The 14179-nt window shown below is 41.3% G+C and overlaps 1 protein-coding gene and 1 long non-coding RNA gene across 14 annotated transcripts in view, besides 1 other annotated feature; one reads left to right on the forward strand and one right to left on the reverse strand.

Moving 5' to 3' along the window:
* The window catches only part of GEN1 (GEN1 Holliday junction 5' flap endonuclease), a 35669-nt gene extending 27117 nt beyond the window's left edge, over positions 1-8552 (forward strand). For all 13 annotated transcript variants that reach the window (XM_011532822.3, XM_011532820.3, NM_182625.5 and 10 more), the window contains one exon: positions 227-8552. In XM_011532822.3, the coding sequence (XP_011531124.1) occupies positions 227-1545 (1319 nt within the window). In that variant the 3' untranslated portion in view covers positions 1546-8552. The remainder of the gene's footprint in view (positions 1-226) is intronic.
* Positions 1-14179, reverse strand: part of LOC105373449 (uncharacterized) — a 35858-nt gene that overhangs the window by 15938 nt on the left and 5741 nt on the right. The gene's annotated exons all lie outside the window — the stretch shown is intronic.
* Positions 11168-11462: a silencer, noted in NCBI's record as "tiled region #14936; HepG2 Repressive non-DNase unmatched - State 22:ReprW, and K562 Repressive non-DNase unmatched - State 22:ReprW". NCBI's record gives its function as "represses a minimal TATA promoter and a strong SV40 promoter by Sharpr-MPRA in HepG2 and K562 cells {active_cell/tissue: HepG2 | K562}" and the evidence as "EXISTENCE:reporter gene assay evidence [ECO:0000049][PMID:27701403]".

Here is a 14179-nt window from a genome sequence, read left to right on the forward strand (position 1 = left end):
GGATTTTAAATGTTTTCTTTATTTCCCAGAACTCAGTGAGGAAAACAACTCAATTATAACATTGTTTTCAGAGGGAAATATTTTATAATCTAGCAATGCACTGAGATCAAAAAAAGGCAGAAACTATTCATAGAGATTTCTCTCTGAACTGTTTATTTTTTTATTTTTTACCCAAGTTAAAGCAAAGAAAATAAATGTTGATTATATGTATTTTTTTTCTTTTCAGGTATTAAGCCTAAAGAAAACAATTTGCCAGAACCAGATGAAGTAATGAGCTTTCAGTCACACATGACTTTAAAACCCACATGTGAAATCTTTCATAAGCAGAATTCCAAGTTAAATTCGGGGATTTCCCCTGATCCTACATTACCACAGGAATCTATTTCTGCCTCATTGAATAGCTTGCTTTTACCTAAAAATACTCCATGTTTGAATGCACAAGAACAGTTCATGTCTTCTCTAAGACCTTTGGCTATACAGCAAATTAAAGCTGTCAGTAAGTCTCTAATTTCAGAATCTAGTCAACCCAATACCTCATCTCATAATATATCCGTGATTGCTGATCTACACTTGAGCACTATTGACTGGGAAGGTACTTCTTTTAGTAATTCTCCAGCTATTCAAAGGAATACTTTTTCTCATGATTTAAAATCAGAAGTTGAATCAGAGCTATCAGCCATCCCTGATGGCTTTGAAAATATCCCAGAACAACTGTCCTGTGAATCAGAAAGGTACACTGCAAACATAAAGAAAGTGTTGGATGAGGATTCTGATGGGATTAGTCCTGAAGAGCATCTACTTTCTGGCATTACTGATTTATGTCTTCAGGATTTGCCTTTAAAGGAACGAATATTTACAAAATTATCATATCCTCAGGATAATCTACAACCAGATGTCAACCTGAAAACTTTGTCCATACTTAGTGTAAAAGAATCTTGTATTGCTAACAGTGGTTCTGATTGTACATCACATCTTTCAAAGGATCTTCCAGGAATTCCCTTGCAAAATGAATCCAGAGACTCTAAAATTCTAAAAGGAGACCAGCTGCTTCAAGAAGACTATAAAGTCAATACTTCTGTCCCTTATTCTGTCAGTAACACAGTGGTAAAGACCTGCAATGTTAGACCACCAAATACTGCTTTAGATCATAGTAGAAAAGTTGATATGCAAACCACTCGGAAAATTTTAATGAAGAAGAGTGTTTGCCTTGACAGACATTCCTCTGATGAACAAAGTGCCCCAGTGTTTGGGAAAGCTAAGTACACAACTCAAAGAATGAAGCACAGTTCTCAAAAGCATAATTCATCCCATTTCAAAGAAAGTGGCCATAACAAGTTGAGTAGCCCTAAGATACATATTAAAGAAACTGAACAGTGTGTCAGATCTTATGAAACAGCTGAAAATGAAGAAAGCTGTTTCCCAGATTCAACAAAAAGTTCTCTGAGTTCTCTACAATGTCATAAGAAAGAAAACAACTCTGGTACTTGTTTGGATAGCCCTCTTCCTTTACGCCAGAGATTAAAACTAAGATTCCAAAGCACTTGAAATTTAAAACACTTAGGTATAACTTAACTATTTTAGTACTATCAGCAATAGCAGAGACAGAGGGAAGGTATCTAGTTCATGTGTGGTAAAAATTTTAATGTTCTCTGTGTCATGAAACACTTGCCATTTTAATCAAAGTTGTAATTTTTAAAAAGTCACCTAAAACTCTGGTTTTAAAAGATCCTCTGTATTGAAAACTTCTGATAATGTATGTCATTATGTCCTTACTATTCCTTAATTGTAGTTTTAAAATATTGGTATAGTACTTGACAGAGTAAATACTTCATCTGATTGTTCATTTTTACTTTTTCTTCCACAAGCCTCTAAAGTATTTATATTCCAGCTTGTTCCCAAGAGGATAATTCTTTATACTTCTCTTCATTCTTTTAAGGCCTTGCAAGGTCTTCCGTTATAACTCGCTTTCCTAAAAGCTATTTTCTCCCTCAGTGTGAAGATACCTTTAGTGTGCTCTTCCACTTTGGAAGGCCATGCAAGGTGTTCCATTATAACTCTTTTTCCTAAGAGTTATATTCTCCCTCAGTTTGAAGATACCTTTAGTGTGCTCTTCCACTTTTGGTGTCTTAGTCTCTTTTGAGGGGCAAAAATAGAAAAGGAGAGAAGATGTCAGTATGTTTAGTAAAAATCATGCTCGTAATGGCTGAATAAACTGAGCAAAGTAACTCCTTATGTATCCCCAGAAGTTCACAGGTATATCGGGTGGAAAAAGATTTGGAAAATCAAATGTATAACCAAAAGGATTAGAAACTAGCCCAGGATCACGTAGCTAACTAATAATCCTGTGGGAATCAGTTTTCTTGCCTGCTAATTTTTTTATTTTTCTATTTTTTCCTTCTATAGCACTTTTCCCCCTTTTGTTTTGAATCTATGCAATATTGACTTTAATACCACCAAATATTAAGTCATGCATTAATTTAGGTCGCACTCAAAAATTCTAGAGAGGCATCCAGATTGAAAAGGAAAATGGTGTCTGCAGATGACAAGATTGTATGCATCAAAAATTCTAAGAAATCCACTAGAAAACTATTAAAACTGATAAAGCGAGTTCATCCAGGTCGTAGAATACAAGACCAATGTGCAATGATCATTGCATTTTGTTTTTGTTTGTTTGTTTTTTTTTGAGACAGAGTCTCACTCTTGTCGAGACTGGGGTGTAGTGGCGCCATCTTGGCTCACTGCAACCTCTGCCTCCCAGGTTCACGCAATTCACATGCCTCAGCCACCTGAGTAGCAGGGATTACAGGTGTGTGCCACCATGCCTGGCTAATTTTTAGTATTTTTAGTAGAGATGGGATTTTCCCTTGTTGGTCAGGCTAGTCATGAACTCCTGGCCTCAAGCGATCCACCCATCTTGGCCTCCCAGAGTGCTGGGATTACAGGTGTGAATCACCATACTCAGCCTCAATTGTATTTCTGTACACCTCTAAATAAATGGAAATACATTCCATGTTCATGAATCAGAAGACATAAGATGACCATACTCCCCAAACTGATCTACAGGTTAAATGTAATTCCCATTAATTCCAGCTGGTTTCTTTGCTGATTCTAAAATTCATATGGAAATTTCAGGAACACAGAATATTAGGAAGAATCTTGAAAGAGTTTGAATGACCCACCCTTCCTGATTTTAAGTATACAGAACTACAGTAATGAATGTGTTGTACTGGTATAAAGGTAGACATATAGGTCAATATAGATCAATGGCATAGAATTGAGAATTCAGAAAAAAAGCCTTCACGTTTATGGTCAGTTGATTTTAAACCAGAGTGCCAAGACAATTCAATGGGAAAAGGAAACAGTCTTTGAACCAACTGTCTTCTGGATCTATTGGATATCTATGTAAAAAAGAGTGACATTTGATTCCTACTTCACATGATATTTAAGAAGTAACTTAAGATGGATCAAATACCTAAATGTAAGCTAAAGCTATAAAACTCTTAGAAGAAAACATAGACGTAAATCTTTGTGACTTTGGATTAGGCAAGGATTTCTTAAATATACCCAAAGCATAGGCAACAAAAGAGAATACACAAACTGGACTTCATCAAAACTAAAAACTGTTGTTTGAAATGACACCATCAAGAAAGTGAAAAGACAGCTTACAGAATGGGAGAAAATATTTGCAAATCATAAATGTGATAAGGGACTTGTATCTTGGTGGTATATAAAGAACTCGTAACTCAATTATAAAAAGACAACTTTGAAATGGGCAAAATAGCTCAACAGGCTTTTCTGCAAAGAAGAAATACAAATGACCAAGAAGCACATTTAAAAATTTTCAGTACTATTACTCATCAGGAAAATGCAAATCAAAACCACAAGACACCCAATGTCTACAATCAAAAAGATAATAACTAGTATTGATGAGGATGTGGAGAAATTGAAATTCTCATAACATGCTGGTAGGAATGTAAAATGGGGCAGCCACTTTGGAAAAAGTCTGGTAGTTCTTCAAATGGTTAAATGTAGAGTTACGATATGATCCAGCAATTCCTCTCCCAGGTATATACCCAAGATAAATGAAAACTTATATCCACATAAAAACCTGTGCACAAATGTCCATAGCAGCGTTATTCATAATAGCCTAAAAGTGGAAACAATCCCAGTTCCAGAATGAGGAAGGGGAGAAACTAATGTGTATTAGCTATTGTGTGCTAAGCATTCAACTAGATTATTTACAAACCTTGTATCATCTCAACTCTTTAAGGACTGTATTGCAATGTTTTGAATATTCAGAGAGAAAAAAGTCGTTGCTAAAACATTTTCCAAGGTTCTGCTTATTCTGATTTGTTCAGTCGTGGCTGTGATAGTTCAGGACCATCTAGACCAGGTAAATAAAATATCTAGAGGCATTCTTGAGATTGTATGAGATGAAAATAACAAAATTAGTTGGGAGTGGCCAGTCTGAGTTCATTTTGCTATATAGCTCAGGAGTCCCCAACCCCTGGGCTATGGACAGGTACCAGTCCATCACCTGTCAGGAACCGGCCTGCACAGCAGGTGTTGAGCGGCATGCAAGCGAGAATTACCGCCTGAGCTCTGCCTCCTGTCAGATCAGCGGTGGCATTAGAGTCTCATAGGAGCATGAACCCTATTGTGAACTACGCATGCGAGGATCTAGTTTGTGCACTCCTACTGAGAATCTAATGCCTGATGATATAAGGTGGAACAGCTTCATCCCACAGCCATCTCCCCCTCATCATCCGTGGAAAAACTGTTTTCCACGAAAGTGGTCCTCGGTGCCAGAAAGGTTGGGGACTGCTGATATACCTAATATAGGCATAAGTGTAAAATTATAGTTCCTCCTCCTCAAGGATTTCTCTGTTTTCATTGTCCAGGTTATACCAATTCTTTTTAAAGCATTCCATGTTCTTGTTCCTTGATGTGGTCATGTTATCACTTGTAAATCAAATCTTTTAAGTTGCTGCTTACGTATTTGCTCATCACTTCATTGTCTTGTTGAGGATGCCTTGCTTCCCTTTGAAATACTCTGCCAAAGATCTGCCTCCAGCTGCTAGGATCCTGTAATTGGTTTCTTTCTGATGGCTCCATGCTAAGGCCCTGCTCTGGCCTAACTGCTTTGGGCTTTGTGTAATCAATCTTAAGTCCTTGGCGGTTTTTCTTTTAGATTTTTTTCCATATAAAATCTCTATCTGGCCACACATGGTGGCCGTGCCTGTAATCCCAGCACGCTGGGAGGCTGAGGCGGGTGGATTGCTTGAGGCCAGGAGTTCAAGACCAGCCTGGCCAACATGGTGAAACCCCATCTCTACTAAAAATACAAAAATCAGTGGGGCCTGGTGGCGTGCACCTGTAATCCCAGCTACTCGGGAAGCTGAGGCAGGAGAATCGCTTGAACCTGGGAGGCAGAGGTTGCAGTGAGCTGAGATAGTGCCACTGCACTTCACTCCAGGATGGGCGAAAAAGTGTCTAAAAAAAATTAAAATTTAAATTAAAAAAAAATATACAATCTCCGTCTTCTAGATTTTATAATGAGGACTCTACTTTTTCCTTTTGGGTAGCATGGCTTGAGCCATCTTGTCAGGCATACCTAGCTTCAGATTCTTTTCTGCTAACAGATTTTCTCTGTGACCCTGGAGACATTTTCTAACTTTTCTGAGACTCATTTATTCAAATGTTTATGTGACAGGCATTGTGCTGGGCCCTGGAGATACAGTGATCAATGGCATCCTATAAGGTTTTGATATCTGTGAAGTCACTGCCACCATTGACACATTCTAGGGACTCAGTAAATTGTAGCTGTGTCCGATACCATCATTTGGAAAGAGCACTATCAGATTTTGGATTCAAACTGAATGCAGCCAAGCACTGCCTTTTGGTAAAAATGTGGACACAGTAACACTAGTAGGGGGCAGTGTGAGGGTGGGAGATGTGTTTTCAGAAGAAGGAAACTCTAGATTAGCATCACACAAGGGATCCTAACGTGGCATTTGAGCTACTGGAAAAAAATTGTGCTTGCTTAAATATAATGTGGTAACTAATATTCATCTAATCACCTACCACATTTTTGGAGCACCCACTTTGAGCAAGGTTCTTAGGCTTTTCTATGTACAACAGCCAGCTGGAGGCCCAGTGAGTTTAAAATTTTTCCAGGTCACCCAACTAGAAAAAGTTAAAGCTGGGACTAGAACTCAGATCTCCTAATTCATGAGTGAAAACAATTCTCTGTATTTATGTTTCCATACATCATTCAGTTCTTGACTCAAATATCACCTCAGAGAGTCCTAATCTTTTTATCTCCTGACATTATAAATGTTGAGTTCAGGGTTTTTTTTTTCATTGTTTCCCAAACTAGAATGCAGACTTGATGAGGGCAGGGACTAAGTCCTTTCTGTTCACAGAATTCTAGAACAGTGTTTGACACAGTAACTACTAGATGCATGAATGACAATTCTCCACAACGCCCCACCCATGGAGCCTGTACCAGCAGTGGCTGCACTTAACCTTGCGGAATCTGGCCTTAGTACTTCAGCATGGCTCACAAGGCTGAGGCAGCCTGGCCCCAACTTGTCTCTTCAGCTTCATGCATTCATAGTCATGAACCTTGGCTCTAGCCACCTAAGACCATTTGTTATTCCCTGCACGGATGTCTCTGCCTGAAATGCTTGCTGCTTCCTTATTGGCTAGATAAACCTCATCTATTAAGGACCAGCTCACATGTCATAACTTTATAATCCCAAGCAGAATTATTTGCTCTATACGTGTCCCCAAAGAAATTACCCATACATTCATCAGAGTATTTATCACATTCATTCATTCGTTCCACAAATATTAGCTGATGCCTGCCGTGTAGGAGGCACAATATTCCTTACTTAAAAATGCCTCTATCTCTCCCTCAGATAAGACTAAGATCTCTGAGCACAGGAATCAAGTCTTATTTCTGTTCACTTCCCCCAGATGCCTACACAGGGTTTGACTCTTCTGCCTCACCAACTCTTACCCATCGAGATTCAGTGTAAACGTGGTCTTCTCTAAGAAAGTCTTCTGTTGCTTCTCTGGATCGCTGCTAGTCCCCATAGACTTCTAAAATATTATCTGTCTATAGTTTTGTGTTGGGTTACATTTTTTGTTTCCCACACCAGACTATGAACATCCTCAGGGCAGAGAAACTATATTGTACTTCTGAATTTATAGCACCCGGCAGAGGGATTGGCACAGAAAGTGTCCAGTGAGGCCGGGTGTGGGGGCTCACATCAGCAGTTTGGGAGGCCGAGATGGGCAGATTGCCTGAGGTCAGGAGTTCGAGACCAACCTGGCCAACATGGTGAAATCCCATCTCTACAAAAAATACAAAAATTAGCCGGGTGTGGTGATGGGTACCTGTAATCCCACCTACTTGGGAGGCTGAGACAAGAGAATCACTTGAACCCGGGAGGCGGAGGTTGCAGTGAGCTGAGACCGTGCCATTGCACTCTAGCCTGGGCAAGAAGAGCGAAACTCCATCTAAACAAAAGAAAAAAGAAAGTGTTCAGTGAATGGGTGCTGATTGACTGATGGTGATTTCAGTCAGGGTCTTAGTTCTAAATTTCTCTGTGGAGAGAGACCAAATCTAACCGGGTGGATTAGCTTGATACCTAGTCGCCTTTAGCCACTTCAAGACGCCCTGCCAAGATGCTTGCTTTCTGAAGGTGAAGAGTCTAAATCAACTGCTGTTCCTGTTCTGCTGGTAGCACTTAGGGTAAAACAGCTTAAATAGTATTACTGAAGGCAGCCTCCTTTCATCTATATATTAACGTGGCAATGTTTATCACCTTCTTAACCAAGCAAAGCTTTTATCAGGCTCAGCTAACAGCTTGCATTAGCCTCTTTCAGGAACTTGCCACATTGCCTATAAACTGACATGCTGCAGAGTCAGCCCCAGCAATAGTCCAAAACAGTGGGACTCTTTTTGATGATTTCAAAATGGATAGTTTAGTTAGCCCCAGGCCAGATAAATTCACTAAGTTGCCTGTTTGGCAATGGAGGGCAGAGTTATCAGCAAAGTAGGCTGACCCTTCTGTGGGCAGAATGAATATTTTGCTAATGTTTAGAAGAATTCCTTTTGTAAGCATCAAAGAAGAACTTTAATAAGGATTAAGTGTCTGAGCTTCCTTAGCATTATTCTATTCCAAGACCCAAAAAGGAAAATAACCTCCCCAAATGGTAAAAACTGCTTGTATATTTAGAATTCTCTGATCAAAGACCTAATGAAAAGATTCTATAGTGTTTGCGTCATCATAAGTTAAATCTTCATCTACCACCCAACTGATACCTGCCTTTCTGTGAGTGAAATCAGAAACGGCTGTTCTTTAATAAATGCTTTCAATCTGAAAGTCAGAAAGTGATTTATGAAACACCCAGGTGAGGGGAGACTACAAGTCCCTTTGCCTTTTAGTTTTCAAGCAATACTGGTTGCAGTAACTGCTCTGATGTAATTATTGCTAACATTTACGTTTTTATTAAACTGAAAATGCTAACTGTGAATGCCAGATGCCAGATGCCAGAAGCCTTATTTTACATAATTGTCCAAACACAGACGTCTCTAGGCCAGGCGCTGTGAAGGCCCCACAACTTCACAGCTGGGATAGTTCTATGGGAGGTGTCAAAGGACTGGGTACAATCAGGTCTACATCTTCTGAAACAAACCGAAGGACATTTTCTTAAACCTGAGAGGCACTGGTCTGAGGAAGTGTCTTGGTTCTGATAGAGACTAGCTACACTGGGCAAACCTCCCCTGGCTTCACTTCCTTCTGTCTTCACTCTCCATCCCATTTGAGGACGCATATCAATATATATGAAACACGTATCAATATATAAATTCAGCATTTCTGATGTCTTTAAAATATGTTCCATTATACTCTATAATTTTTTGAGAAGGGAATTGTCTACATATGAAGAAAAAAGAGACAAAGTTCATTAGGCACTAATGAATATAAGTGAGCTTATACAGTTTCAAAAGTCTGTTATGCAAAGCATTAGTGAATCTTGGGAAAAGACAAATGACATATGTTAAATGTTTATGTGCCACACATCTAATTCTTAAAATTCCTCATCTACGCCCCACAAAAACTGAGAGGGCCGAGTGCGGTGGCTCATGCCTGTAATCTCAGGACTTTGGGAGGCTGAGGCGGGCGGATCACTTGAGGTCAGGAGTTCAAGACCAGCCTGGCCAAAATGGTGAAACCCCGTCTCTACTGAAAATACAAAAATTTGCTGGGCGTGATGGCAGGTGACTGTAATCCCAGCTACTCGGGAGGCTGAGGCAGGAGAATCACTTGAACCTGGGAGGTGAAGGTTGCAGTGAGCCAAGATCATGCCACAGCACTCTAGCCTGGGTGATAGAACGAGACTCAGTCTCAAAAAAAAAAAAAAATACTGAGAGGCAGGCACTGTTATCCCCTATTTGCATCTGAGGCTAAGAGAAGTTAAGGAACTTATCCAAGGTCAACATCTAGTAAACAGCAGGACCAAGATTTTAACTCAGAGCTACTCTAACTCCAAAGCTCCATCCATCATTTTCTCCCCACTCTTTGTTTCTTTGGAAACAGTTAAGGCTTTTTCTGTGAACCCCACATCTCTCTGAGTCTGTGGCACTTTTAAAGAACCCATTCATCAGAGAGATGCAATAAACTCTACTGATATGATTTCTAGAAAACTGACTACTAAATAAGAGTAGTTCAGAATCCCAGAAAAACTGTCTTGTGAACACTCAGGAAATTGTCACAGAATTTATTTTAATTTTCAGAATTAAAAAAATAACTATTAGGCCAGGCGCGGTGGCTCCCACCTGTAATCCCACCACTTTGGGAGGCTGAGGCAGGCGGATCACCTGAGGTTGGGAGTTCCAAACCAGCCTGACCAACATGGAGAAACCCAGTCTCTACTAAAAATACAAAAAATTAGCCGGGCATGGTGGCACATGCCTGTAATCCCAGCTACTTGGGAGGCTGAGGCAGGAGAAGCCCTTGAACCCGGGAGGCAGAGGTTGCGGTGAGCCGAGATCGCGCCATTGCACTCCAGCCTGGGCAACAAGAGCGAAACTCCGTCTCAAAAATAAATAAATATATAAATAAATAAGTTAATTAAATAACTATTAAAGTCAACATTGTAGGAGGCTGGGGGGTTTTCATATGAAAACCCCCAGAATGAAGATGAGGGGGACAGGCAGAATTCCAGTCATTTCCTTACTCTCCAAAGCTCTAACCACAGGGATGAGTCCTCTGCAAGTTCTTAGTGGTGCATGAGTTAAGAGTGTCTCCTTTTTAGTGTTCATGTCTTAGTTGAATCACCTTTGCACAGTATCTGCAATGAGCCAGGCCCCGTGCTGATCATGTTAAGTACATTTTTTATTCTCTTGAAAGCAGTCCAGGGAAGGAAAGCAACATGCCTGAGGTCACACTTAGTACACAAATCTCCCAGTTACCTTTGGAGGTAGCATTGCTACTCCAAAGTACCATCTTTCTTGCAGGAACTGCTAAACAGCCTTCCAGTTGATCTTCCTGCTTCAAAATGCTCGTGCCTTTCTGTTGTGCACATATCAGCAAGATTAATCTATTGAAAACGCAAATCACATACTAACCACCCCCTGTGTAAAAGCGTCCCATGGCTTCTTATCACCCTCTGTAAATCCCAGCCTCCTCAGCAGCTGTGGCTACCTGTCTCCCTCACCTCATCCTCCGTCGCTTCCCCTTGCTCCCCTGGCCCTTGGCACATGGCTTGCTTTCTTTCCTTAAACATACCAAGCTTACTGTACACTCTGGCTCTTGCCATTGCTGCCCACTCTGTGTGGACTTCCCACAGACCTCTGGATGGTAAGCTGTTTATCACCACCGAGGTCTCAGCCTCTTGGCTAGTACTTTTGTGAGCACGTTAGCTAAGTAGCCACCTCCCACTCCTACCACCACTCCTTCACACTTGCCTCTCACCCTGTATTATTTTCTTTACAACTTATTAGATTTTTTTCTTTGTCTCCTATCACTAGAGTAACATAACAAGAGAATAAACTTTGCTTTACTCTTTGTTGTATTCCCAGAGCTTTGAACAGTGCCTAATATGCAGTATGCATTTAATACATACTTGTTCAATGAATAAATCAAGTTAGCTTTTCAACCCAAATCTATGTAAAGACAAAGCCCAGGCTTTGACCACGAACATGCTGCAATTTTTTATTGAATTCTTAAGATGGATTCAGTCCTGGGACAGGCATACTGCCAAGTACATGGGAAAACATCTGCTTCCTCCCTTCAAGATGTTTATAAGTTAGTTGTGATGCCAGACTCATTTATTCTTGAGATAACAAATACAGTAAGTGCTGAGTGAAGGGAAATGTATCAGAGGGCACCAGAATGTAGAAGAGAGTGGTCAGTGAAGATACAGGTGGTCCTTATAGGGCCTCCTAGAGCTGAGAAACTTGATAGGAGCCTTTTGTGGTGGATGCCAGTTAGGGGGAGGGTAAGACTGTCAGGTCTTGGATGAGACTTAGAGAATCAGTGAGTTTATCCAGGAAAGAGTCATCAATGACATGTGTTTTAGGGCATTCCAGAGAGGGACATTTGCTAGATACTTTTTTCTGGAAAAAAGCCTCACTCTTTACTTACAAGTATAGTTTTATGAGAAAACGCGGGCAAGAGAAGAGGAAAGGAGGAAAGAGAAAGCAAGGCAGTGAGGTTTCTTCTTTCTCACTCTGGCCATGGTTGTGGTAGGGGCAAGATGGATCGAGACTGGCACACAGTGAGTGCCAGATAATTATTGGCCCACTTACTCTTGAAGGTCTCCTCTGTGGGACTTTCCTGGAATTCCACGCTCTCTCCAGAAATAAATGGCCAACTGTGGGACCTAGGAGGCTACCTCTTTAGGGCCAGCAGTAAGGCAAAGCTGCCATGCAGCATAATCTGCCCAAGTGATTGGACTGCACAGACCCTTGGCCATTGGAAGAGACTGCACCATCCCAGAGTTTCCCAGAGGGCCACCATCATGAGGATTGCTCCTATCATGGCTCCCAGTGAAGGATAGAGCAAGGAGACCCCTGAGAACTAAATTGCCAGCCAGTGAAGATGACTTACTATGCTCAGAATTAACATTCATCCATCCACCACCCCATCCATCCATTCAGGAAGCAAATACTCTATGCCAAGAATCTTGCAAACTGTAGGAGCTATCACAAGGGTTAGATAGTTTCCTTTCCTTGAGGAACTCATGGTCTACTCATAAAGAAAACCATATGCTGTTAGTTTCTTAACTCTACCCATGTTTCCAGGGCAGAGTTGAATAAAAGATTTATCACATACCCAGGCTTGGCCACAAAACCACACCACACGAAACCAAAACACTCCATGAAGGGAAAGACTAATTAACCTTCCCACCCCCCCACCCCTCAAGCCCTTCCCAGAGAGGTGATAATGAAAGATTTGGTCTCTACTGAGCCACAACAGGATTTGCATTTTAAAGTTTGACAGATCTTTATAGGCCTTTTGATCTCTTTTCTGCTCTCTACCTACCCACCCCAGACTTGCTGCCTCCTCCCAAACCCCCCTCAGTTCTCTACCCTGAACAAGCTATAAGCTTCAGAAATGATGGTCCCAGGTCCAGAGGCCTCTAGGATATGTGCCCTGGTGTAATGTGCTCCTAGCCATATAGCTCCTATTTATTGAATATCAGCTGTATATCAAGTACTTTTCTTCCTAACCCGCACAATCACCCTGCAAGGTTCATATTATTTACCTTTTTTTAAGTGAGGAGGAAAATGAGGCATGGAGGTTAAATAACCTGCTCCAAATCACTAATAAAAAGTAGGAGCGACAGAACTAAAACCTAGGTCTGTGCACCGCCAAACCTATAACCTTTTCATTAAGCCACACTGACTCCATTAGACAATACTGGTTATTGTAGGCTATCGTAACTAAATCCTTCTTGGAAAGGTAATCCTGCACTCCAGTTTTCTTGCAGGTGTTATTCTGGAAATAGCCCAATAAACGTCACAATTTGATTTACTCGAGGACAAACTTGCAGCTGTCTTTTCTTTTAGAGCTCTTCTTGAGCTCTGACTTTTTCCTCTCTTTCTACTCATCTTTCACACAGACTACTGCAGCCGGACAGCTGCATGTCTTGGTTTGGTACTGTCATCTGCAGCCTCCTGGGCTTTGTGGAACAGTCTCTCCAACCCAGAGAAAGCCTATTGGAAACAAACTCAGAGTCTCAGATACTTATATTTTTGCAGCTGGAGGGAACCCAGAAAGCCATCTAAAACTGAGTTTCAGAGAATGACTAGTGCAAAATAACTGGTATCAGATTTACTAAAATACTGCAGCTTTGCTATGTTAAAGTAAAAGAAGGAAACAAGTCACATTAACAAATATTTCAATGTGCCGGGTGCTTTATCTCATTTAATCTTCACTACAACCCAGTGAGGTAAAATTAGTTACTATCCTTGTGCTCCAGATGAGCCCTGACTCAGAGACATAACTGACTCTACAGTGATAGCTGGCAAGACCAGGACCTCAGGTAACCGCAGAGAGCACAGACCCTCTTCCACACCGTGCGGTGGGCATGAAAAGGCGCACAACCAATATGCTGGCTGGTGACTGACTGGCCTGTGAAATTTGCTCCTGCACAGAAGAGCAAATCATTTTGCACTCTTAGTGAGGCCATGCCTGTAACCTAAATTCATCTGGCATTCACAGCCTGAGTCATACATACTTTGACCAAGAGGGCCCCTGAAAAATGGGGGCTACAGCCTCTGACTACAGCCTCTCCTAAAACATTCTGAGTGTGTGTTACCAGTTAGAAGATTCTGCAAGTTTCTTTCCTCCTTGGAAAGTCCATCCCCCACCCTCAAAGAGGGGGCATTAGAAGTGCCAAATTGGGAGCCATAAGAAAGCCGCTGCTGGCTGCTGAGTTGTCCTGTCGAGGTTGAGAGATCAGGTTCAAAGCTCCAGCCGCAGTCTCCCCGCCCCCACTCCCCACCCCACCTCTTGTCCAGAGAAGGAATGGTCCTTCCCACCCCCCACCATCATTTCTTGTAAAAACTTCTGGATTGTGCTCAGCTGGGGGTCATACAGGGAGCTCAAGGCATCCTTTCTGCTCTCTCCAGATCGACCCCAACCTCAGAGAGGAAGCT

This window comes from Homo sapiens, chromosome 2 (assembly GCF_000001405.40).
Source record: "Homo sapiens chromosome 2, GRCh38.p14 Primary Assembly".
Lineage (NCBI taxonomy): Eukaryota > Metazoa > Chordata > Mammalia > Primates > Hominidae > Homo > Homo sapiens.